This window comes from Homo sapiens, chromosome 16 (genome assembly GCF_000001405.40).
Source record: "Homo sapiens chromosome 16, GRCh38.p14 Primary Assembly".
Lineage (NCBI taxonomy): Eukaryota > Metazoa > Chordata > Mammalia > Primates > Hominidae > Homo > Homo sapiens.
This window is the reverse complement of record NC_000016.10, coordinates 60,460,581-60,486,538: the sequence shown is the minus strand read 5'-3', so window position 1 is coordinate 60,486,538 and position 25,958 is coordinate 60,460,581. Positions and strand designations below refer to the sequence as shown.

The following is a 25,958-nucleotide window of genomic DNA, read 5'->3' as shown; positions in this document are numbered from 1 at the left end:
CAAATGATAAAAATCTTTCTGTACAAAATTCTCCCAATAATAATTAAAATCATGTACCCTACTACCAATAATTTATTTCACAATAGGCCTCCAAAAAAGCAATCATGTCCACATTAATTAACAGGAGATTATCAACAATCTGAGAGATTCATGGCCTTACTTTCTGAATAGTAGCATGCAGAATATTTTTGGAAAAGAAAAGCTAAAAAATCAGGGACATAGTACATCTCAGAAAATGACATCATCTTTTACTTTATAACTTCAGGTTTGCTCTCAAAAATGTATAACACCACAATATTGTGAAGTTTTACAACCCAAATCCACAACAACTCTACAAGATCCTTCCCGTGTAAATGTCTTCAGATGCATAATCAAGCACAGAAAATAAAAAATATGCCCAGTTTGTTACACAGAACAGGGAAGAAGTGTTTGCTTAGATAGATTCTGGGCACCATCTGGGAGACAAGTGCCTGGTTTCACAACAGATTGCATAATTTTTCTGTTGAATCTGGAGAAAAGCCCTAACTGCTTTAATAGAGAGTTGATTTTACATGCCTTTAATCTTCATTTCAGTTTGTCTTAAAGGCAATCCATATGGTTGAATGGCAGAAGTAGTCATTAGCTTAACACAGTGTTCAGGCTTCCATCTTTCTGTGAGAGACATGCAGTATTTCACCTTATAGAGAGTTAGTTTTCATTGCACATGGTAATTAATCTTTTTACTAGCCAAGCGTCTACTGCATATATATGCCATTGATTGATTAGATTAGAAATTTAATGTTACAGTTCATACATTAGTAATATTTCAATATAACACATACCAAGGACTCCAGTATCAATATAAGTAAATCAAGAGCAGCACAAAAAATCAGCACCTGGATCAAGAAGGGTGACCTCAGCAGGAAGGGAATACTTCATCCACAACAGAGAAATCCTAAAGCAAAGTTCACCTTATTAGAAGCTCTGTGTGGAATCTATGGCTAGAGGGTACTTGGATTTTTAACAGAAAACAGAATACATCTAAAAGCAGATGGCAAGACACAATTCCCAAATGGACAAGACAGTCAGGCTACCCTTTTATGTACCTGTCTCTACATTCCTTTCTTGGCCGATGCTAGAGAAGAAAGCACTTTGGCATCACGTTGTAAAAGATACAATTAAAAATCAAAACAGATTGGCAAAGTTCGGTATTTTAATGAAAAGAATGGCTCATAATTGTATCCTGGTAATAGTTTCTGAAATGGAAGAAAAGTAAAAGAGCTTTTTTCATTGAGATAAATTCTTTTTAGGCCTGAGGCATGTACACGTGCTAGAAAAAAAAAAGTAACCTATATGTTTCTATCTACACAGAGAGGGAGAGTTGAGAAGAAAAATGTGTTTACCTTTATTTGTCACACGGGAATCAAAATGCTGGCCTGGGACTCTCAAATATGTTATCAAATATGATCTACCAAATGGTGTTCCAAGCTAAAGTGATGTTGGCTTTCACAGTACATTGGAAGAAATTGGGGAGTGAAGTATACAAACACATTCCTAAACTCCTAAATGTTAAATAAAAGCTATAAGATTAAAAAAATATAATTCCACAATGCAGACTTCTTTTCATCCTATTATATCATCCTTTTCTCTATTTTACCTTGATTTTCCTGCAGGGGAAGGGGTCTTCCAGGCAAGGAAAGTATCATTCTCCCCACAAACTATACACTTGGGTGACCCCAAGGAGTAGTACAATGATTATATGCGGCGGTAGCTAAATTAAAGGGTACAGAATGATAACCATGAAAGAGAAAGGAGAAAATAAATTCTAAGATTCTGATAGAGAAATAAAAACAGGAGCAGTTGAGGTCACTGTAGAAATAATTTTTTTTTTGTATTGTAGCTTTTGTAAAAATTAAATATATTGCAGATGATAATAATGGTCCCAATTCTTCAACACTTCGTGGTTCTATCCCCTTTGCCATCTACTTTGTAGTGCCTTTCCTTTCTGAGTCTGAGTTCAGCCATGTTTGCTTTGGGCCAAGTGAATCTTAACAGGCATCACACAAAAGGAGGGTTAGAAGGGCTCTTGGGCTTCTTCACTCTTTCCCTCTCTATTGCCATGTGAAGGACATACCTGGGCTAAGCCAGTGGCCCCAGGAGGAGGAAGAGAGACACACAGAGGTGAGTCACTCCAACCATTCTAATCAAGGCCATTCTAATCAGCTGACAGCTAGCCAAACTCCAGATATCTGAGTACACCAAGTGAGAAACAGAGAAGCTGCCTACAGGACCATCCCTGATATCTGAGCATAACTGCTTATTATTCTACTGAGATTTTGTGTTGTCTATCACACAACTTTATTATTTCAGTCGATATTTAATACAAAGTAAATGAAAATGGCCAGGCACAGTGGCTCACTCATGTAATCCCAGCACTTTGGGAGGCCAAGGCGGGTGCATCTCCTGAGGTCAGGAGTTCCAGACCAGCCTGGCCAACATGGCAAAACCCCGTCTCCACTAAAAATACAAAAATTAGCCTGGCATGGTGGCACGGGCATGTAATCCCAGCCACCCGGGAGGCTGAGGCAGGAGAATCGCTTGAACACAGGAGGCAGAGGTTGCCGTCAGCACTGCACTCCAGCCCGGGCTTCAGAGCAAGACTCCATCTCAAAAACAAACACCAACAAAAGTAAATGATAAACATTAACCTTTATTAATAACAATTGTTAATATGGTAGTCGGTTTTGTTTGCTGTATTTTTGTTTCTCTCTCTCTCTCTCTCCCCCTTGTTTGTTTCTAGGAAATTCCAGGATTGTGAAAGAACGCACTATGGCATTTGATATAGAGATACCCATAGCTCTTATATCGTTACTGAGAATTTTGGCCTTCAAGTTCAGTCTGAGCCTATCATTGCGGACAGAGTGATGGTAATTTTGATTAGCTTAAGTTAATCAGGATCCACGTCTAGAAATGAAAATGTACAAAATTGCTTGACTGGAAAATATAGAGTATTTTTGGGAAGGAAGAAAAGGGAAATGGATGGAAAAGAGATAATTAATAAATGCCGACCAGGGGCTAGCAGAGTCCAGCAAGTAGTTGAATGAATGCTTAAAAAGACAAATAATTGATTTATTGAATGAATGAATGAATACATGACTATTTTAAGGCTTAGATAATATTTGTTTTGTCTTTTAAGCACAATTGAGCATGATCTGATGGATAATGCACTAACAAAAGATAAACTAAACAAGTTTTTACTTTTATGTATCAAACAGGTACGATGTGCAGTGATATAATATGCAATTCACTTAATATTTTATGTAAATTCTATTATATTTTTTAAGAGTAGACATTACAGCTTAGAGTGTAGAAAATGGTGGTTCCTCTGCCTGAATGGTGATATGCATTCATTTGGCTTTTTAATGCAGAAGTCACTCTGCTGAGGAAAGCTTTTGCAGCCTATTTAAACTCGTTTTAATTTGAATCCCAAGTCATTCTTTGTGTCTGTAAGTTGGAACTGCTTAATAATCTATAGCAATAAAGCAAAGATTTGGGTAGAGATTGGCTTCCGAAGTACCTCTTGAATGCCGACTATAGACTACCCAATGCTTACAAATACAGTTAATATGAGTAATGAAAGGGAATGATGGATGCAAATTAACATGTATCATTCAAATCATCAGCCCAACAGCAGACAAACCTTCGATAAATGTCAAGCTAAAATGGTAAAATCAAATTGTTAACAGCCAAACGTAATTAATCAATCCTGTGCATAATTATTAGTTTACCAGCACTGTTAATAGTCAAACAAAGTGATCTTTCAAAATATAGTATTAGATTAATACAAATTAAATGGATTTCTGCTCAATGATATATCATGATGTGAGTTTCACTGCATGGAATTGAGATTAGTTAAATCTTGATTTGAAAATTGCATTCAAATTCTGTAATAACTATATGGGCTGGGGGCAGGGAGAGATGAGGTTGCTGCCCACAGTGTGAGAGCAAGGAAAGAAAATAACATTCTTCACATTTGAAATGCTGTCTTCTTCTTGTCACAGAGAATACCCTGCTCCAAGCTGTTCAGAATGTGAGAAATTCCTAGAGATTAAATTAAAAAGCGGCTACATGGCCTGATTACCAAAAGTCTAAAATATATGAAGTTAAACTGATGAAAGCTGTGAGCAGAGCCTAGCCAGGGCCTAAGATACGGAGTGCGAATTATGGACATGACGATGAAGGTCAGTTAAAATGTGGAGATACTACCATCATACAAGATGGGCAGTGGCTAAAGGAACAATAAATCAAGCCCACATCATCAACTACATGCAAAAAAGATTTTCTTATATAACTTTTAGTCAGAAGCCATGTGGAACTTAAAGTGGCTTGAGGTTCCTAGCGGTCTGAAAATAATAATACTGAAACAACAATAAAAAGTGTGTTAGTTTATGTTTGTTATACCTTGCATACTACATGCAAAGCTGCCTGGCTCTCCTGGTTATTTTTTATGTAATAAGTTATTTACTTTTTATGATAAATTTATGAATTCAGAAGTATTATTATCCCATCTTTTTCAAGGGTGAAAAATCCTTGACAAAGGGAGATTAAGTAGCATGTCCAAGGTCAGTTTACGGCTAGTACATCAAGCAGCTGAGATTAAATTCCAGGCAATTTAGCAGCAGAGTTCACATTCTTAGAGTAGAAGTTTATCCTTATGCCCTGCAATTCAATATTCCAAAGTTTCACTTTGCATATTTAAATTCCCTTGTGTCCATCTGGATGCCAAGTCTGGCTTACATTGGAAAAGTACTTTACCCTTTATAATGCATTCACATTTGATTTCTCAACAACCCAATGGGAAAGATGAGACACTAAGAATGAGATAGCTTAAGTGAATTTTTTAAAGGCAATATAACAAATTTAGTTTAGTTTAGTGTGTTTGTTTGTAGTTGTTTTCTGTGACGGTTTGCCTATTTATGTTTTATCTCGTTCCAGAAATATTTAAGATTCCTTATACAGCTAGTAAGTGTAAGAGGAAAGATTCAGTCATGCTAGAGTCCAGAATTCATGTGAAGTGTTCAGGAAAGGGTAAGTCTTATTTCTTCTCAGAGGCTGAAACTACCTGTCTGCATTCCACTTCCTAAGTAGGGATATGGCTACGACAAGTTGTAAGCTATAAGCAAACACATTGTTTTCATGTAGTCTCTTTCTGCATCTTGGGTTTCATCTGTGCAAACTGAAAGGGCATAAGAAAATTTTGTTTAAAAACACTTTAAATTTCAATATTCTAAGTGTTTGTAAATGCATTTCCTAATCTACAAGTAGAAACTCAGTGATAAATATTGAGTAAGTATTAAAAAAGTAAAACAGTAAATATGCTTTTTAAATATGCTGTATTCATATGCTTTTGGTGTGGTAAATAGCTTAACAGGGGAAAAACTGCATCAATATTACAAAAGAAAAACAACAAAATGTCAACCTTGCCTGGGTTGCCTAATGGACGTCAAATCCACCACAACTTTTTGCTTAACATTCACCTGAAATATATATTTCATTAACAAATCTCTAATATAAACCATGAAACTGGCGTTTTTGCCTGGAGAAGTAACAAAAATAAATAAAATGCCATGTTTAGGAGACAATGAAATATATCCTAAAGATTAAATCAATATCAAAAGTACAGATCAATAAAAGAAAGATGTGTGTACATTTAAATATAGTTGGAAAATTCAGACTCTCTATATATCTGTGTGTGTGTGTGTGTGTGTGTTTTATCAAGGCTACTTAAAGTGATTTTGCTGATGGAGTTGGAATTTGGGAACAGATTACTCCACAATTTATCAATATAATGCCAAAAGGAGTGATCTCAACTAGAAAACAGTCTCACGTAAATAAAGTCCACTATATATTTTAGTTGTTTTGTAATCCAGATTCAGGCACAGGTTCAGATTTCAGCAAGCTGAAACAAAAGGACGCGGGATTAAGTTTTAATTTAATTTTAAAGGTCTGGAAAGAGCACAATGATCTATTGTGGAAAAGACACTAATCACTGAGGACCGTAATGATTGCTGTTTGAAAATTTTAATATGTAAGGGTACCTGATTAAAATTTAAGGGGCATCTTGAGTTTTTCCGAAGATAAATTAACATTTATTGAGAATTTCTTGATGCCAGAATCTGGACTGGTTGCTTTGAACATGATATCCCATTTAAGCCTCATGGCAACTTTAGAAGCTAGGTTTCATTAGCTAGGAAAAGGTTACGATTTTAGTGCAAATAATGTGAAGTTTAGGATCAGATAGTTATGAATTCAAGGTTTCCATTAACAGTTTATTTATTGAGTGACTTTGGTATTATTTTACTTAGTTGGATGGGCCATGTGAATTGGACAGATGCTTTCTCATTTTAAACTTTGAAACAGTATTTTATTGTATCTTATTCAATATACATATTCTGCTATTCTACATATTCTAAAGTCTTCACACATAGCAGGGAAAATACTAACAGTGCTGGGAAAAGTGTAGATGAAATGTTGAGGAAAAAGAAGGAGGATGTTTATATATTAATTAACAATCTGTAAAAAGAGAGTGTTTTTTTGAACTAAAATTTAGGCTATATTGATGCCCTTATGATATGTCTAATGGCAAAGCATCATCTTGGGATTGTATTGTCAATCCTAAAACAAAGGACAGGCTACATTGTGATAAGCTAACAGCCAACCCCAAATTTTAAAGACATAACACAACAAAGCTTTGTTTCCTGCTCACAGTGAATTGGTGGTAAGTGGGAAGATTCTCTAGAGCAACTGTCCTCTAAGTGATGGCTCAGCATTGCACTTCCAAATCAACTTGTAATGCTTCCATTAACAAGAAACCCAGAAATAGAGAGGAGGGACAACACCAGTGATTAAATGCATTCACCTAGCAGTCATATACATCATCTTATTACATTCACATTTCATTGGGCAAAGAAGTTCAGGTGACTATGCCTAACTTCAAGGTGGCAGGGAAATGTAAGCTTCCTGTCGAGGAGAGGTCTGGAAGGAAAATAAAACTAGACATTATTGAACAGTTTTAGGCTAGACATTGCTTTATTTTTTAAGCATTTCTAATTTTTCTAAGAAAAAGATACACGAGGTGAACTAATCTAGGAAAGCTCCCATCCTTTCACTAGGGTATGGAGCAAGTATCTAGATGAAAAATATCAACTTCTGAAGAAAAATGTACAGAGGTTGCTCTCTAACACATTAAGTAAATAATAATAATAGCTGTTTTTTAAAATCTGCCTGTTACTGCCCACATTCTAAAGTCATATGTTTCCTATGCCTCTGAAAGTCTTCGTGAAAGTTATGGTATGAACTAACAGAGAGCTGATACCTGACAGAGAAAAACCTCCCTGAGACTACAACTGCCTGAATGTAGAATTTACTGCAAGGGATAAATGTGACATTTAAATTGCATTGCTCTTTTCCCTATGCATTTCTGTCAGGATACTTTCAGTCACAAAGTGGAATGATTTTAAAATACTTTAAAATACACAATATTTGACTGTAACATTACAATATGAAAGATCGTTCAATAAAATACTAGGCAGTACAAGTTGCTTGATTATTATGATGAATGTCAAAAGTATGTAATGTGGTATTTAATACAGTTCAGTGAGTGATGAGTTAGTAACATCATATTTCCTCAGAGGAACAAAATAGAAGACCAGGAAATTCAAAGAAAGTCTGATAATTTCTAACAATACAACATTCAAGAATAAAACAGAACAATAGATTTGAATCTATATGTATTTTGCTTGTAACAGAAATCTCTCATGGAAAACAAATAAATTAAAAAGTCAAGAAGATATTAACTGAAAAAATAATATAACAAAATTCAGGAATATAACAGAAAAGACCTTATTATATTTATAAAAATATATAAGCTTCTGAAATGTTTGAGCATGGCTAAACCTGTAATTAATAACCAGCCCCTATGTGTCAATTTAACTTTTCAATCTTTTCATCTTGAAAATAGTCATGGCAATGCAACCTCACAAAGGTTTCATGAGGGTTAAAAGACAACTAGTTAATATATCTAGCAAAATCCCTGTTGCATAGTGTAAGCCTGATTATACCTTGGATCTGAATCCTAGATAAGCCTCAAAACACAAATCCTAGGAATTGTGATTTAGACATTGATTATCTTAGTGTGTATTTTTTAAAGCAAATAGATGATTTAATAAACATGTAGCATACAAAAGTAGATTAGGCACTGAAAATTTTTGAAGTAAAGTACCTATATGATACATTCCCAGTAATCAGTGTGTGTGTGTGTGTGTGTGTGTGCATGTGCACGCCCACATGTGCTTACATAATTTCAAAAGCTTCACAAAGCCCATTTATGGTCCTTAAGAACAACTGTATTATTTTGTAAAATAATTTTTCTTATTTTTCCCTAATATAAATGAAAATAAACCAAACAATTGACTTAAATCTTCTTCCTCCATAAAATCAAGAAAAAAAGATGATATAGAATACATCAGTGTTCTAGCTAGCAGAGTGAATATGTGAATATTTCAACAAGCAACATTTTTATTCTAGCACCTCAAAATGCATTAAATATAGTACAGGTACTATCAATTAAAGTGTCTGAAAATTAATTTCAACAAGGAGCAGAATCATGCAACTAATCACAGACAGATCTAAATAAATTAGTTCTTAATCATAGCTTTGAAAGGAGAGAAAAAGAAGGCAACATCAAGAAAGTCAAATTACCTTCCCTGGGGTGAAGACATAATAAAACATACAATAAATCAAGGGTTTAACTTCAATTTTGTTGATAAGATCATCACAAAGTTTTAATAATGATACTATATATGTTTTTCTCCAATCTTGCTTTTCAATATAATTGTTTATTGTTACATAAAGGGACACATTTGCCAAAGCCAGAGTGAAATCTGCATGCAGCCAAATGACAGTGTTTGGGAGATAATGGGGAAAAACACTTTCTAGCTTCTCAAACTTACTTTATCTCCAGACTCTGTTGGAGCGCGGGGTGGGGAGACTCCCTTGCCATAGCTTCACATATGGAGGTTTTCCTCTTCTGCATTTTTTCTGTACAGAGAGATGGAAAAAAGTCATCCCAATATCTTTTCCTATTTAAGAGATCAAGGGTCAAAAACTTAAGGCAAAAGTCTAGGAACTGACTCTGGCATTTCAGGAGTTTCTGTCCCATAGTTTTCATAAAATAAGCTCATTTCTGCTTTTTTAAAGGAGAAATAAAACCAATCTGGTTTTGAATCCTGGCCTTTCTGCCCACTAGCTGTACTACTGGCCAACTTACTTAATCTTTCTGAATTTCAGTTTATTCAATAGGTGATTTAAAAAATAATTGTCTATATCTCATAGGGTTGTGGAGAGGATCAAATGAGATCATCCTCATAGCACCTTAACAATATTAAGAGTTATATAGTATTAATCATTTTGCACTTGCTGGCATTTAAATATTTATTTGCTGAAACATTTATTTTTATGGCTTTAATTACATTAGGCATCTTAACTCTCCACTAAAGCAATTGCTAGTGGTAGGGTAGAGTTTGCTAAGCATTTGAATTTGAACAAGAAATGGATTTCTTTGATTTACCATGCTTTACACCACTACTTTTTTGATCTACTAGGCATACCCTAGGAATAACCTAGAGAATGTTATAATATAAAGGGTACACAACTGGAGAATGTCTGGGTGCATGCATTAAAACTACTACTCTAAGACTCTGCTCATAATTCCAAAGCCTATCTCTCTATCTGTGCATTTTATGCAACATATGAATAGTTTCTGCATCAAACCGTTTCCATACAGCAGCCAGTATCTAAGGTGAAAAATTAATCACAATTCCCTGGCTTAAAACTCTTTAGTATTGGCTTTTACCTTTTTCATCAATTCCAAATATCTTAGGAAAGCTTACAGAGACCTTCATGATTAGGCTATAGCTCATCCCTATATCCTTATTTCACTCTTCTCTATCTCTTGTATTCTATGCTATCTTCTACAATATGGGGCCTCATCCCCTATCCCTTGATCATTTTTCCCCTTTGGACCACTCTTTGCCTGGCTGCCTTTGAGTCATTCTTCAACACATGTGCTGCTGCTGCTTCTCTGAATCGCACACCTCAGGTATGCTGACAGAATATCCTATATATGACGTTGCAGAGGTAGCTCTGGATCTACTGTCTAATATTGAAATTATTCAACTATTTAATTTTTCCCACTAGACCATAAGAGCAGGATTTTTTTTTGCTAGTCACTGTATCCTCAACATCTAATACGGTGCCTGGCACATAGAAAATATTTTTTAAAACTAATATGAATGAATCATATAGCATTAACATTTTTTATTATTGCACTTGTCTCCACATTTTGAGCCTTTAAAGAACATGACTAGTTTCAATAATTAAATGCAAAAGGTTTATATTGAATTTGGAATACTGTAGTTAGTTTCTTGAGGGCAGGAACCTATCTGACTTTGTGATTGCTGTTGTATCATTTAATACCCAACGGAGAACCTGGCACATAGTACGCGCAAGATCAACGTATGTTGAACAACAAATGAGTTAAGAGGCCTTTGACACTTAGAATCCAAAGAATCAAGAAAATACCAAATTACCCTGTACTACTAAATGTTAAGTAGTTCACAGACACTTAAAGCAATAATTAATGAACAAAGAAATGACAATGACCTTTCTAATAACCTCACGATTTCCTCAAGTTTGATCTGAATGGCTATCTAATAATTATTTTGAAGTCTTAAAGATGTAGGAATACATAGATCCCTTTCTTAGTACGCTTCGTTTGTTTCCATTGTTTAAAGAAGAAGTAAAACATATGATATCTTCACAAAATACAGAGTAACAAGGAGGAATGTATTTTGTGAGGGGTGTGTGTGTGTGTGTGTGTGTGTGTGTGTGTGTGTGTGTGTGTGTGTGTAGTGTTGTTCCATTCTGATATCCAGGTTAATTTGAAAATACCACATTTGGTTTCTCAGCATTTGCTAAGAAATTATACTCAAGGTGAATTTTGAAATGATTCATGTTGTGTAATCTGAAGAAACGACTGGTAATGATATTCCCCTATATTTGTAAGATACATTAATCTCCGTCATGGCCAGTTAATTGTGTACATTTCTAGTTCCTGAACGACAAATATTTTAGAAAGATAAATAGCTTCTCTTTCTGGAAATTACTATATATGGACTTTCAAAGAAAATCTTGCTAGTTCTTATGGAATGCATGTCATTATAGAAAACTGTTACTTTAGAATGAAATGAGATCCATGTCTAAGCCAGAGAATGATGAAGAAAATGAGGTGAAGGAGAGGGTCTCAGGTCTCTTCCAGGAACCACTGAAGGATGCATCAATAAGTAAAATAAATCTAAAAACTATTAAGTAACTAATAATACACCAGTATTCAAACATATGGGGGAGTGGGATCTCGGCTTGGGCCATCTGGATCTAGTAGTAAAATCATGCCACTGGGATTCTTGACTGTATTACTCTCTGTGTGCTCACTTTATTATCAGGAAGCATCATGCTATGTTAAGCTACTCTAAGCCTAACAACTTAAAACTTTGTTTTTTGTTTGGTTTTATTAATTTTAAAAAATAATTAGTTTTGTTTTGTTTTGTTTTGTTTTTGAGACAGGATTTCACTCTGTCACTCAGCCTGGAGTGCAGTGGCATGATCATAGCTCACTGCAGCCTCGAACTCCTGGGCTCAAGCAATTCTCTTGCCTCAGCCTTCTGAATAGCTGGGACTACAGGCATGCACCACCACACCTAGCTCAACTTTTGATTTCAATGATGTATAATCATGCCCTCTCTAGCATCCATATAACCAAATCACAGTAAAGATAAGACATGTCTTGCTGTCATTCCAACAGGCAAGAGGGACAGTGTAATATGACAGGTCAGTCTAGGTTGTCATGATGATGAGACAGAAGAGGAAACATGCCTGATAACCTCCATAGAGATACATGAACTGAGGTGTAAATAATTCTTTAAAGAAAACAATGATTTTATAAAAAATAAAAATGAAATTTTTTTGGAGACTTGGCATTTTATTAGGGGCTCACATACAGGGGAGAGTCCAGTGGTGACAGGCTGGACAGGAGAACCACCTGATGTACAGAATTGGTCCAGTGGTGATGGGCTAGACACGATATCTACTTTCCTACAGTCCATTGGTGGTCAGCTGGAAAACATATCCACCTTACATATGGTCCAGTGGCAGTGGACTGGACAGACAAACTGCAACTGCTTGCAAACATGATGCAGTTTATATAACATTCTCACTTCAAACCTTCCCCTTAATGACCTTCACCTGGCAAACTTCATGTAATCCAAAACTTCGGGCCACAACTCTCTGTACAGCCATGTTCTATGCAATGGGAAGCTCATAAGACCAACAAAAATAACAGATTTTGTGCAGTGAAGAAAGGATATGTGAATAGAACACCAAACTCATGCTACTTCAAACAAAGCAAGTTTACTTTCATCTGTTTTATGTATTAGTCATCTGCTTGAGACTTTTATTGGAGATATTGATTTATTTTAAAAAAACTTGACAACCTCTAACATTGATTAGCTTAAGGTTCACTTCAAGTTTAAAGATTTCATTTGTTTCTAAAAGCAGGGCCAATAGTATCCAAGAAAAAAAATGCTAGTGGAAAGACTAACAGATATCCATTCCAAAATAAAAAAGATACCCATGGTAGGAGCTAATTTTTACTAATTAGTGGCTAAAAGTGATGTTATAGTCAAAAAGAGTCAAGGTTAAATATGTAGTGCCAAGACCCACTAATCTTTTCAAGTTATGATTACTTGTCCAAGAGCAAAAAATATCCAGGCAGCTGTGTTCCTCTGGTTAATGTTGCTTCTGGGAACTCCTGAATCAGGTGGTAAATAGTTTCCCCAGATATCAAAAATTTAGGTTTTATAAATTCAAGAAACCACATATTCTTGTGAGGTTTTGCCTGATCCTGAGTTTTAATGGATGGTAAGGAGTAAGGAGGTCATCAAGAGTATGAACTCCTTCGCTTTTCTCTTTGGGAGCATCATTCCTGTAAGTTTCATCATGCAGGAATGTCTGCTTATGCCTAAAGCATGACTATGTCACCTCTATGTGCCATAGATAATGGTATTATTGATTATACAGATCCCTTTCAAGCACTTAGTAGATACCAAACACTTTATTAAGAATTTATCAACCAAAATATGCCAAATATTATTTTCATCTTTTCAAATTAGAAATCTTAGAGCAGATAAGTTAACCACCCTGGCTAAATTCCAATGGCTAAGAAAATTCAAACCTCAAATTATTTCATTACAAAGTTATTTGTTTTCCCCCTTTACAACTCAGGCTTTTTTCAATTCTTTGTTTCTTATGTCCACAATAATTCCCACATATAACAAAATAGAAAGAATAAGTTTTTTTTTTTTTATTTTTAGGGTTGCTCTCCTCCTCCACCTTCTATTTCTTCTCCTCCTTCTCCTCTTCCTCATCCTCCCCCTCCCCCTCAATCCTTGTCTTCTTCTTCTCTGTCTCCTTCTCCTTAACTGATTTTTCACCCTGTTATATAGCTTTCTTAGACAAAGGGCTACAGTAATTTCAAATATATCTCTCTTACTCTTCAGAGTTATTGCTTTCTAAAAAATAGTCTAGACAAGTGTCCCTGAATTCTTTGACCAAGAACTTACCTGTTCTCCAGAAGGAATTATATGGTGATCCATGTGAGTCAGATGACCTTCTCCTAATTCCCATACCATTAATAATGTGGGGAGAACTCTGTAAAGAGAAGCAACAAGGGCAATTATTTTGAAGACAACTCTTTTGGGGGTTCACAGTGTGAAGTTGACAAATGAGACAGAAAATTCTCCCTTCTGATAATGACAACACCGTCTACTATTATGCTAAACACTTTCCTCAAGAAAGCACTCATTTGACTTTGTCATTGTAAGAGCACTTGAAATTAAAACAAATTTGTGGTTTCAAAGGAGGTTAATAGAACCAAAATACTAAATTGCTTCCTGTATCTTAAACATAAATTTAGAGAAACTACATTTCAAAAGCAATTTTTCAGAATATAGAAAGCATATCTCTAAATTCAAGCCTCAGTAGGCATCAGGGCTTAAATATCTGAATCTCCTTTGTCTTAAACTAGAGTAATTTGGCAGTGACATCAGAATTGAAGCACTGTCCATGTTAGGACTCATGTACTAAGAGTTTTTGACAACAAGAATATTTGGTATTAAATTTTAAATTGATGCTGAGTGACAGACTATTTCCCATGTCTCTACCACTTGCAGACAACTACCACAAGCTCAATTTGCTTCACAGGAGCATGGCATGTGCCATCCCACAAAAAGTCATGTGCGTTCAAATGAGCACTGGCCAATATTGCTTTTGAGAAATAAGAAAGCTTGTCTGCGTTCACGGGGCCAATTATTCAGCCAACTATACATTGGGGAAATTAATTCTTGAAGCAAAAGGTTTCATTACATTCATAACTACACATATTGTTCTTGAATATAAACTTCCTGGCTCGCTTAACTCAGTGACCTTTTCTTTCTATATATCTAATAGATTTATAATACATTCTGGGAAGAAGCTTTTTTTTCCCTTAAATTGCTCTTTCAAGATCTTGAATATCAGATGAAAGTTCAGTCCTTCTAGAGATATCAGAGATGTCAAAGGACTAGATATTTTGTAAGCCCGGCTTCCAACTTGCTTCTTTGAGACAGAACATCATAGAATCAGTGTTGGAAGGGATCATAGGAATGATCCAGCCTAAATTGATAAAGTTTCTTTTTTTTTTTTTCCTACTGGATCTTGAGTGCCACAAGAACTAAGACAATGTCCAATTAGCCTTTATTTTCCAATGCCTAGTGAAGGATTTTATACATAACAAGTCTTAATTCTGTAATGACTAAATGGGGAAAAATAGTCACAAGCTTATCTATCTCAGTGTTTTCCAATAAGTGGTACATTTACCAGGAATCGTACAAGCTTATTTTAGGTAATATTTGGATAACTGTTGGTATATTATTTCCTATATTTTAATATAGGTGTAATAATAAATAAGAGGTACTAATCATGAAATTATAAGCTAAAAATAAATACAGTAAATAAATGGTACACATATCATCAATGGCACAACTTTTGAAGGGTGGAACTTAAGAATTCTAGAAATCCGTCATACTCAGTGCTTGGTTCTCTTCATTTCACCCCTCCTTTATAGAACCACAAACTGCCTAGGTTATTATTATTATTATTGATATTATTTGAGATGGAGTCTAGCTCTGTCACCTAGGCTGGAGTGCAGTGGTGCGATCTCAGCTCACTGCAACCTCCACCTCCCAGGTTCAAGCGATTCTCCTGCCTCAGCCTCCTGAGTAGCTGGGATTACAGGTGCCTGCTACCACGCCTGGATAATTTTTTGTATTTTTAGTAGAGACAGGGTTTCACCACGTTGGCCGGGCTGGTCTCGGGCTCCTGACTTCGTGATCCACCCGCCTTGGCCTCCCAAAGTTCTGGGATTACAGGCATGAGCCACTGTGCCCATCCTTCTTTACTATTATTTTATAGAAAAATACAATGTGAGTTTATGATGCCATTGAAATGTATCGTTCTAGTTTTTTGCTTCTCAACTAGTTGACCTATATGCTTCTGATTACTATGCAGTTGAATGTGTTCATGTTATAATTTTTTATTTTTATACTGCCCCTCTTCATCTTCTAATGCTTGTATTTCTTCTCTGCAGTCTATGATCTAAACAATAGCTTCAAAGGATAATTTTTTGAAAGATGCAAGTGGATTGTTGGTAAAAGGCTTATGCCGGTGTATTGGGAGGCATGGAGGTGGCAGAAAGGTAGTAGATTTGATACAGAATGAAAACTAGGATTCCGCAAAGTTTTAATTTTTATGATTTATTCCCACATTAGAGTAGAAAACAGATATTAATTAATTAATTTCTAAGAATTATTGAAACCGACCCTTAAATCTTCAGCCTCAATTTTTATACAAAGATCCTGCCTGAGGTACTTTGAAATAAATAATACAAGGATTTATTAGAAATGCTGTTTTCCTCTCACTAAAATTGGGCTTCCAAGCTTTGAAACCCTCTCCCATCATTATTTTTGACATTCACTTTCATTTTCATTTGGAGGATATTATTAAGATCGTGCTCATTCCACTGTCAGCTTTTACGGACAGAAAAGTGGTGTGAAAGCATTATATTCTTCGCTGAGCAGGAATGTGCACTTGGATTCTATCTGAAATCAGTACCAGAAGAAGAACTTGTCATTGTGTTTTTCCAGAGCAGATGATTAAATTGGGCATATTTTTCATTTCTTCTATTATTTTTTAAAATAAATGTGAACAATACATATACTTATGGGTTTATGCAGTTTGCCACTATAAAATGGCTAAACATCAGTCCTTTGTTCTTTCTACTCTTCAGGGGAGGCAGACTGTTTAAAGTGAGGTAGAGGTTATTTTAGGGATTCTGAATGCTGAGCACCTTTTATTACCTTTAGATATTTCAAACAATTTCCCAAATCATATTCCATATTCCAGCTTTGTGATACTTCTTACACAAAGTAATGTTTTAAACAATTTCTTATGTGCTTCTAGAGTACAACAAATAGTAAAACAAAGTGTGAATACAACACGTATTTTTCCTTCAGTCTATGATTTAATATTTCCCAATTTTACATCCATGCATCACTAACAAATGACCAAGAAAAGATTCCTAAGGTTCATTAAACTATACATAAAAGAGTCTCTGAATAATTATTTAAAAGAACTTCTTCCCATAAATTATTTGCCTCCACTTTTTAACAGCATAGTTAGGGACTTTCTGAGCTACTACTAATTTAAATGACTGTCCAGTCATTTACTGTTAAGTTTCTGTCTTGGTTTATTCACAGTCTACTTTCGTATACATAAAAAATTGCTTTACATAGTGTTCACAAAGCAATTCAGTGATTAACAAGGTTAATTTCTGGTTGAATTTCTGTAATATAATGTTTATTATTATGAGATATGTTACATTAAAACTAGAGACTTAGTAAAATTTTTCTGGTGGCGGAGGATGGAGTCTCGCTCTGTCTCCTAGGCTGGAGTGCAATGGCATTATCTCGGCTCACTGCAACCTCCGCCTCCCAGGTTCAAGTTATTCTTCTGCCTCAGCCTCCCTAGTGGCTGGGATTACAGGCGCCCGCCACCATGCCCAGCTAATTTTTGTATTTTTAGTAGAGGCACGGCTTTGACATGTTGGCCAGGCTTGTCTCAAACTCCTGACCTCAGGTGATCCACCCTCCTCGGCCTCCCAAAGTGCTGGGATTACAGGCATGAGCCACTACTCCCGGCTGAGACTTAGTAATTTTGACATTACCAGCACTACCTTGACTAAAAGAAGCATGATGAAATTTGGAGGCATGATAGACCAGTTCTATATCTTGATTGCTGGTAATTAAATGACTGTCCATATTTGTGAAAATTTATACAACTGCATAACAAAAAAGATGAATTTTCCTGTATGTAAATTATAACTCAATAAACAACTAAATTATGAAAAGGATCATATGTCAATATTAGCTTTAAAATATCACAGACATCTATATGTTATGTTTCAACTTTTTATCTTTGCATTTTCTCTTTAGCCAACCCTATTAAGCTTTCTTCTTCGTCCCCATCAATCCGCTGAAGACCTTAACAAGATTGCTTTCAGTGACTATCATTTTGCAAACTCATTGATCACTTATCAGTTCACATCTAACTTGGCATCTTGTCATCATTTAGCTGGTGTTGCAAGCAAAGACTCATTTATTCACTTTATTTCCAGGACACTGCCATTTTTTTCGATCATCCTTCTGTCATATTCACTGCTTCTTTCCTGGAAACTCCTTTTCTTCTCAATCACATGACTTGAAAAACATAAATACATGCTGCCAACTCTTTCCTCCCACCTCTCTTTCTCTCTCTCTTGTGTGTGTGTGTGTGTATGTTTGTGTGTATCTTTAGCTTTCACTTTTCCCTGAGTTCAAAAATGACATGTCCCAGCTCATGCCTTGGACATCTCCTTTTGTATATAAAATAGACATTCACTTAGCATACACAAGAAGAACCCTTGATTTTCTTTCCAATCTTTTCATTCTATGTATTTCTTGAACTCAAATAATTCCACCATTCACTGGCTTCTTCTGACCAAAATCCAGAAATTAATTATTGATTCTCTTTTTCATTCTTTATGTATAACCCATAAGCATGTTCTATATGCATTATTTAAAAAATATATCTTCACTCTTACATTTCAACATTTTTCAATTACTAGCCTGTCTCATCTGAACTTTTTCAATAGCTTTCTGATTTCTCTTCTTCCATAATTGTGTTTATAGGGTACAAGGTGACACTATAATCCATGAATACAATGTGAATTAATGAAATCAAGCTAATTAACATATCCATCACCTCAATGCTTATCTTTTTTGTGGTAATAACATTTGAAATTTACTCTCAGTGATTTTGAAATGTACAAAACATTATTATTTACTGTATTAACCACACTGTTTAATATATTACAAAAAAATTTTCTAAACGTATTCCACCTAATTTAGACTTTTTATTCTTTGACTATCACCTTTCCATTTCCTCCCCCAACTCCCAGCCTCTGGTAACCACCATTCTACTCTCTGTTTCTTTGAGTTCAATTGTTTTAGATTCCACATATAAGTGAGAACATATAACATTTGTTTTTCTGAGCCTGGCTTATTTTACTTACCTTAATGTTCTCCAGTTTAACCTGTATTATCACAAATAAGTTTTTTTCTTCCTTTTTAAAGGCTAAATAGTATTCCATTGTGTACACATACCACATTTCATTTACTCACCCTTCCATTGATGGACAGTCAGTTTGTTAACTCTATAATTTGGCTGTTGTGAAGAGTGCTGCAATGAACACAGGAGTGCAGACATCTTTTGACATATTATTCAAATTTTTGAGGGTAAATATCCAGAAGTGGGATTGCTAGATCATGTGGTAATTCTATTTTCAACTTTTCAAGGAACTTTTAAACAGTTTTCCATATGGTTTCACTAATTTACATCCCTACCAAAAGTGTACAAGGGCTCCCTTTTCTGTATGTCCTGACTAACATCTCTTGTTGTTTGTCTTTTTGATAATAGTTATTCTGACAAGTGTGAGGTGATATACAATTGTGGTTTTAATTTTCATTTTCCTAATGATTAGTGATGTTAAACATTTTAAAAAATATATCTGCTGGCCATTTATATTTCTTCTTTTGAGAAATGTCTATTCAGGTCCTTTGCCCATTTTTAATGTATGGCTTCAAGTATTTTCCCTGAAGCTTAAAATTGTCACTTCATGCTGCTTTTACACAGGCTTTTAATTTTGATGAAATCCCATTTGCAATCCCATTTGACCCTGGGACTTTGGGGTCAAATACAAAATATTATTCAGACCAATACAGTATTTTTTTCCGTATAGTTTTTCAGTAGTTTTATAGTTTCAGGTTTTATGTTTAAGTCTTTAATTAATTTTGAGTTGATTTTTGCATATAGTGTGAGCTAAAGGTACAATTTCCTTCTTCTGCATATGGCATCCATTTTTCCTAACATTATTTATTAAAGAGACTATTAATTTCCCATTGTGTATTTTTGGCACCTTTGTGAAAAAACAATTGACCATACATGCTTGGGTTCATTTCTGGGCACTCTTTTCTGTTCCACTGGCCAATGAGTCTATTTTTATGCCAGTACTATGCTGTTTTAATTATTGATCTTTTGCAATATAGTTCAAAATCAGGTAATGTGATGCTTCTAGCTTTGTTTTATTTTGTTTGTTTGTTTATAATTCCCTTAGCCATTTCAAGATTTTTGTGGTTCCACATTAATTTTAAGATGTATTTCTCTATGAAAAAAATATTGAAGTTTTGATAGCTTTTCCACTGAATTTGTAGATCACTTTGGTTAGTATGGTCATTTTAACAATATTTATTCTTCCAATTCATGAACACAGGATACCTTTCCATTTATTTGAGTCTTTTTTTTATTTCTTTCATTAATGTCTTATAGTTTTCAGTGTACAGCTCTTTCACTACCTTGGTTAAATTTATTCCTGGTATTTTATTTTTTATAGTTATTGTAAATAGGGTTGTTTTCCTTGTTTCTTTTTTGAAAAGTTTGTTATTAATGTATAGAAACACTACTCCATTTTCCACATTTTTGATTACACTCTCTTCTTCTCAGAATAATCAGAAAGATTTTTTACAAGTGGCACTTACATCTTGCAATTCCTGTGCTGAAACCATCCTATAATCTTCTTTTTCACACTTAACAATAAAATCCACATTCCCTATTATGACTTACAAAGCCCTACACCAGAAGTCAGCAAATTATGACCCATAAGCCAAATCCAGCCCATTGCCTATGTTTATTTTTGTAATTATAGTAAAATACATATAACATAAACTTTACCATGTTATTTATTTTTTAGTGTATGGTACAGTAGTGTTAAGTACATTTATATTGTCATGAATCCAATCTCCGGAATGCTTTCATCTTGTAAAAGTGAAACTCTAAAGCCATTAAACACCTCTCAGTTCCTTCTCCCACCAGATCCTGGAAAACATCATTCTTTTGTCTGTATTTATAAATTTGACTATTCTAGTTACCTCATATAAATGGAATTATACAGCGGCTGTATTTTTCTGACTTATTTATTTTAATAGCATGATGTCCTAGAGGTGCATCATGTTGTAACATGTGTCAGAATTTTCTTCTTTTTTAAGGTTGAGTAATACCCCTTTGTATATATATGCCACATTTTGTTTATTTATCCAGTGGTGGACATTTAGATTGCTTCCAACCCTTGGTTATTGTAAATAATCCTGGTATTAACATGATTGCACAAATATCTCTTTGAGACCCTGATTTCAGTTCTTTTGAGTATATGCCCAGAAGTGGAATTGCTAGATCATATGGTAATTTTATTTTTAGTTTTTTGAGTAATTGCCCTAATGTTTACCATAGCAGTTTCATCATTTTACATTTCCATCAAGACTACACAAAGATTCTAATTTCTCCACATACTAGCCAATACTTCTTTTCTTTCCTTTTTTATAATCCAGAACCTCATGGGTATGAGTCTGTATTTCATTGTGGTTTTGATTTACATTTCCCTAATGATTAGTGACGTTGAGCATCAGTTCATATGCTTGTTGGCCATTGTGTATCTTCCTAAGGGAAATGTCTATTCATGTCCTTTCCCATTTTTTAATCAGATTGATTTTTGTTACTGTTGACTTGTAGGAGTTCTTAAATATTATTAATAATAACCACTTATCAGATATATAATGTGCAGGTATTCTCCCATCAATAGGTTGCCTTTATAGTCTGTTGATCATGTTCTTTGATGCACAGAACTTTTAAATTTTGATTTAGCCCAATCTATCTATTTTGTCTGTTATTTCATGTGCCCATTGACTTTTCTTGTAAATGAAGTTTTATTGGAACATAGCTACACTCATGTGTTTCAGTTTTGTCTATGACTGTTTTCATGCTATTACAGGAGAGATGAGTAATTGCCGTGAAAACCATATGGCCTACAAAGCCTAAAATATTTACTGTCTGGACATTTACAGAAAAAGTTTGTGAATCCCTCCCCTGTGCAATCTAACTGTTGTCTGTCTTCCACCTTTTCTATATACCACTATTCCCACTTAATCTATTCTAGTCATATAAGGGCCCTTCTGTTTTCTTCTGAAACATCAAGATCATCCAACTTTAAGGGTTTGAACTTTCAGATTCATTCATTTAGACTGCGTGTTTTTTACTAGAACTTTAACTAGTTTATGCCTTTATTTCACTGTGGTCTCTGCTTAAATGTCCTGCCCTCAGAGAAAAGAGTTGACATCAGCTAAATATCTTAAAATGCTAATCTCTTGATTGTGTTTTATCTTAGAATGAAAAGGCAATGTCAAAGTTGGTAAAACATGTTTATATATCCCACTTACACATATGAGTTACTATATAGTAAGGGCTGCAAATCATTGTCCTTCCATTTTATACTAATCTGCTGAACTAGTAAAACTACTATGTCTCCCTTCCCCATATCAAACATAAATTATCTATGAAAGAGAGACACCAAGGAAGAGAATTAGAGCCTGAGAAAAATCCTTAGAGCAACTAATGGGGCTACTTTGAACCATTATGTGTGGCAGGGGTAGTGGCTTTGGCCTGGGGTAGGAGACAATAAGGCATGGCTGTGGGAGGATGGTGAAATAAAAATACTGAAGGACAAATAATACCTACTCATATTCGTATAATGACTCAGAGAGCTCTTGTTAAAGTACCATGAGGAGTAATAGATGAGCAATGTAGCCAGTTGTTGTTTTAAAAAAATATTTGATATTCCAGGGGAAAATAAAGTCACAGACTAGAATAACAGAGCATTTGAAAAACATAATTATTTCAAAGGAAAAGAAAAACATATTGGATTGTTGATTCCATCACAGACAGATACATTAGAATACAGAGATAAATACTTCTGAATTTATCTAAAAATATGCTAAAAGAAATAAGGGAATTTATTATTAATATATATTTTTAAAACCTGGGAAAAGCTAAGCGAAAGTGTTAGGTATTAAACATAATATTGGGGTTAAAATACATACAGATGCAATAAGGAATTAGAAGAAAGCATTGTATAGAATGCAAAAGGAAAATGCATAAATTAATATATTTTAATATATTTTTATATTGTATTATACATTTAAAGAGATAGGATATATGGAGAATGGAGGTAGAAGTGATAACACTCAGAGAACAGGGAGTTCAGAGAGAGAGACAGTTAGAGAGGGAGATGAAAGAAGTAAATTTTGGAAGCCATAATGGAGATATAACATTCAAAATTTTTTCAAAAATGTAAAATACTTCTTTTAACTGGAACTCCTAGATGTTGATAAAGGAGAGTAGATTCAGAGAGGGGTTCACCTACACACCATATAGTAGAGATTGAATAACAATAAGAATAAGAGAACTGGGAACATTTGAATAGCTTACAAAGAGAAAAAAACCAAAAAGTAGATTACCTACAAAGCAGCAAGAGTTAGATTGAAACCAGAATATTCAACATTAGCTAGGATGCAAGAAGACAAACAAATATTCTTTCATTAAATTAAAGTAACTTAGAATCAAGAATTCTAATTTAATTTCATTAAATTAAAGTAACTAACTTAGAATCAAGAATTTTAGGGCCCTGTCACACTGCAACTGCTGCTGCCATACAAGTGTGTGCATGGAAGTTGTAGCCCCCTGCCTCTGCCCCACCCCTGCTGGGACCTTACCCTCATGAATACATAGGGGCCCCACTGCATCGGCAGGAACTTAAGCATGAATTTAAATTTAGAAATTAATTTAGAACCAAAAAGAGCCTGCATTTCCAAAGCAATACTAAGCAGAAAGATCAAAGCTGGAGGCATCACATTACTTGATGTCAAACTATACTATAAGGCTACAGTAATTAAAACGGCATGGTACTGGTACAAAAACAGACAATAGATGAGTGGAAAAGAATATAAGACACAGAAATAAATCCACACACCTACAACCATCTGATCTATGACAATATCAATATCAACAAAAATAAACAATGGGGAAAGGGCTCCCTATTCAATAAATGATGCTGGGATAACTGGTTATCTATATGCAGAAGAATGAAACAGGACCCCTACCTCTTACTCTATATGAAAACTAACTCAAGATGGATTAAAGATTTAAATTTAAGACCTCAAATTATAAAAATCCTAGAAGAAAATCTAAGAAATACCCATCTTGAAGTCAGCTTTGGCAAAGAATTTATGGCTAAGTCACCAAAAGCAATTGTAACAAAAACAAAAATTGAGAAAAAATGGAACTTATTTAAAATGAAGAACTTCTGCAGAGCAAAAGAAATTTCCAACAGAAGAAAAAACAGCCTACAGAATGGAGAAAATATTTGCAAGCTATGCGTCTGACAAAGGTCAAATATCCAGAACCTATAAGAAGCGTAAATCAGCAAACAAAAATCAAACATTCCAACTAAAAAACAGGCAAGATACACGAACAGGCACTTCTCAAAAAGAGACATTCAAGTAGCCAACAAATATATGAAAAAAATCTCAATATCACTTAGTCATCAGAGAAATGCAAATTAAAACCACAATGAGATACCATCTCATACCAGTCAGAATGGCAATTATTAAAATGTCAAAAAATAATGGATGTTGGCAAGGTTGCAGAGAAAAATGAACATTTATATACAATTGCTTGTAATGTAAATTAGTCTAGCCACTGTGAAAAGCAGTTTGGAGATTTCTCAAAGAATGTAAAATAGAACTACTGTTCGACTCAGCAATCCCATTACTGGGTATGTACCCAAAAGAAAATAATTTATTCTATCATAAAGACACATGTACTCATATGTTCAATGCAGTGCTAGTCACAATAGCAACAACATGGAATCAAGCTAAGTATCTATCAACGGTACACTGGATAAAGAAAATGGGGTACATATACACCATGGGATACTATACAGCCATAAAAAACAACAGAATCATGCCCATGAAACATGGATGGAGCTGACGGCCATTACCCTGTGCAACCTAATGCAAGCACAGAAAATGAAATGTTCTCACTTATAAGTGGGAACTAAACATTGAATACACATGATTGCAAAGATGAGAACAATAGACACAGAGTGGCTCACTAGATGGGGGAGGGAGGGGGAGGGATGCATAGAATCACTTGTTGGGGACCATGCTTATAGACTGTGTGATGGGATAGTTGGGACTCCAAGCCTCAGTGTCATGTAATTTATCTGTGTAACAAATCTGTATGTGTATCCTTTCATCTATAATAAAAGTTGAATTTTTTAAAAAAAGAAATCAAAATGTCAGAAAGGACAGAAACATATACATTTCAGAGATCACAAGCATAAACTAAGGCAATTATAGTTATGCACCCAAAAAGTAGGTGATATATTACCTTCCCTGTGCAGGTAGGTATAGACTATAAAATTAATCATCTACTAAGGAATACAGAAAAACTCAATAAGATTTAAGGAACTTGTATTAAATCAGGCATGTTAGCTAAACCTGATTCAGTTCTATTACATGTGTACAACAAAAAGGTAAAATTCCCAGCTATTTAGAAATTGAAGAAAAAATGTTAAATAATTTACATAAGATCTAAATAATAAATAAAATCCTAAGCCTGAAAATGAGTGAGTTAGAAAGTTGGTAGTATAGAAAGAGGCCCTTATATCTTACAGTAGGAGGGTATAAAACCTGAGAACCAAATTTAGAACAGCATTGCCATTGTCATCAAACTTCAAAGGTGATTGAATTACATCAGCTAAGCCATGGCCAAGGGCTCTGTTGGGAAAAACTTGGACCCTGACAAATACGATGGGAGCATATAGGTGAGTGCTCCAAAGATGTTTGTTCTCCAGATTGCTCTTAACTTTTAGGGCCAGCAGAATCAATGTACCCCTCGCTAGAAAGAGCTAACACTCCCCTGTATGAGGACAGACTGCATAGGTCTGTCTGCCACAAGGCAGCTTGGATACTCACCCAGATGTGTTCCAGCTCCACTTATGCCTATTAAGCCAATAACCCAGCCACGGACACGCTAGGCCTGACAATAGAGACAATACTTTGAAGTACTAGAATACTTCAAAGGACCCACAAGAATTAGCCAGCACATACCAGACTGAATGTTGATGGCATTTGATCAAAGGATCTGGAACATAGGGCTTGATAAGAAAGAATCATCAGTTTGGGGCTACTCTCTTGAGATAAGGAATTTAAAACTCTGGCAAGTTCCTAGGGGATGGAGAAAATTTGCAGGTAGCATAGCTTCTAGAAGCTAGGGGAAAGTGA

At 34.8% G+C, this 25,958-nt stretch overlaps 1 long non-coding RNA gene across 6 annotated transcripts in view; it reads right to left on the bottom strand.

Moving 5' to 3' along the window:
- Window positions 1-25,958, bottom strand: part of LOC101927605 (uncharacterized) — a 187,474-nt gene that overhangs the window by 60,717 nt on the left and 100,799 nt on the right. For all 6 annotated transcript variants that reach the window (XR_001752229.1, XR_001752231.1, XR_002957906.2 and 3 more), the window contains 2 exons: window positions 13,716-13,803; window positions 8,991-9,078 (listed from right to left, as the gene is read on the bottom strand). This is a non-coding gene — a long non-coding RNA (uncharacterized LOC101927605). The remainder of the gene's footprint in view (window positions 1-8,990; window positions 9,079-13,715; window positions 13,804-25,958) is intronic.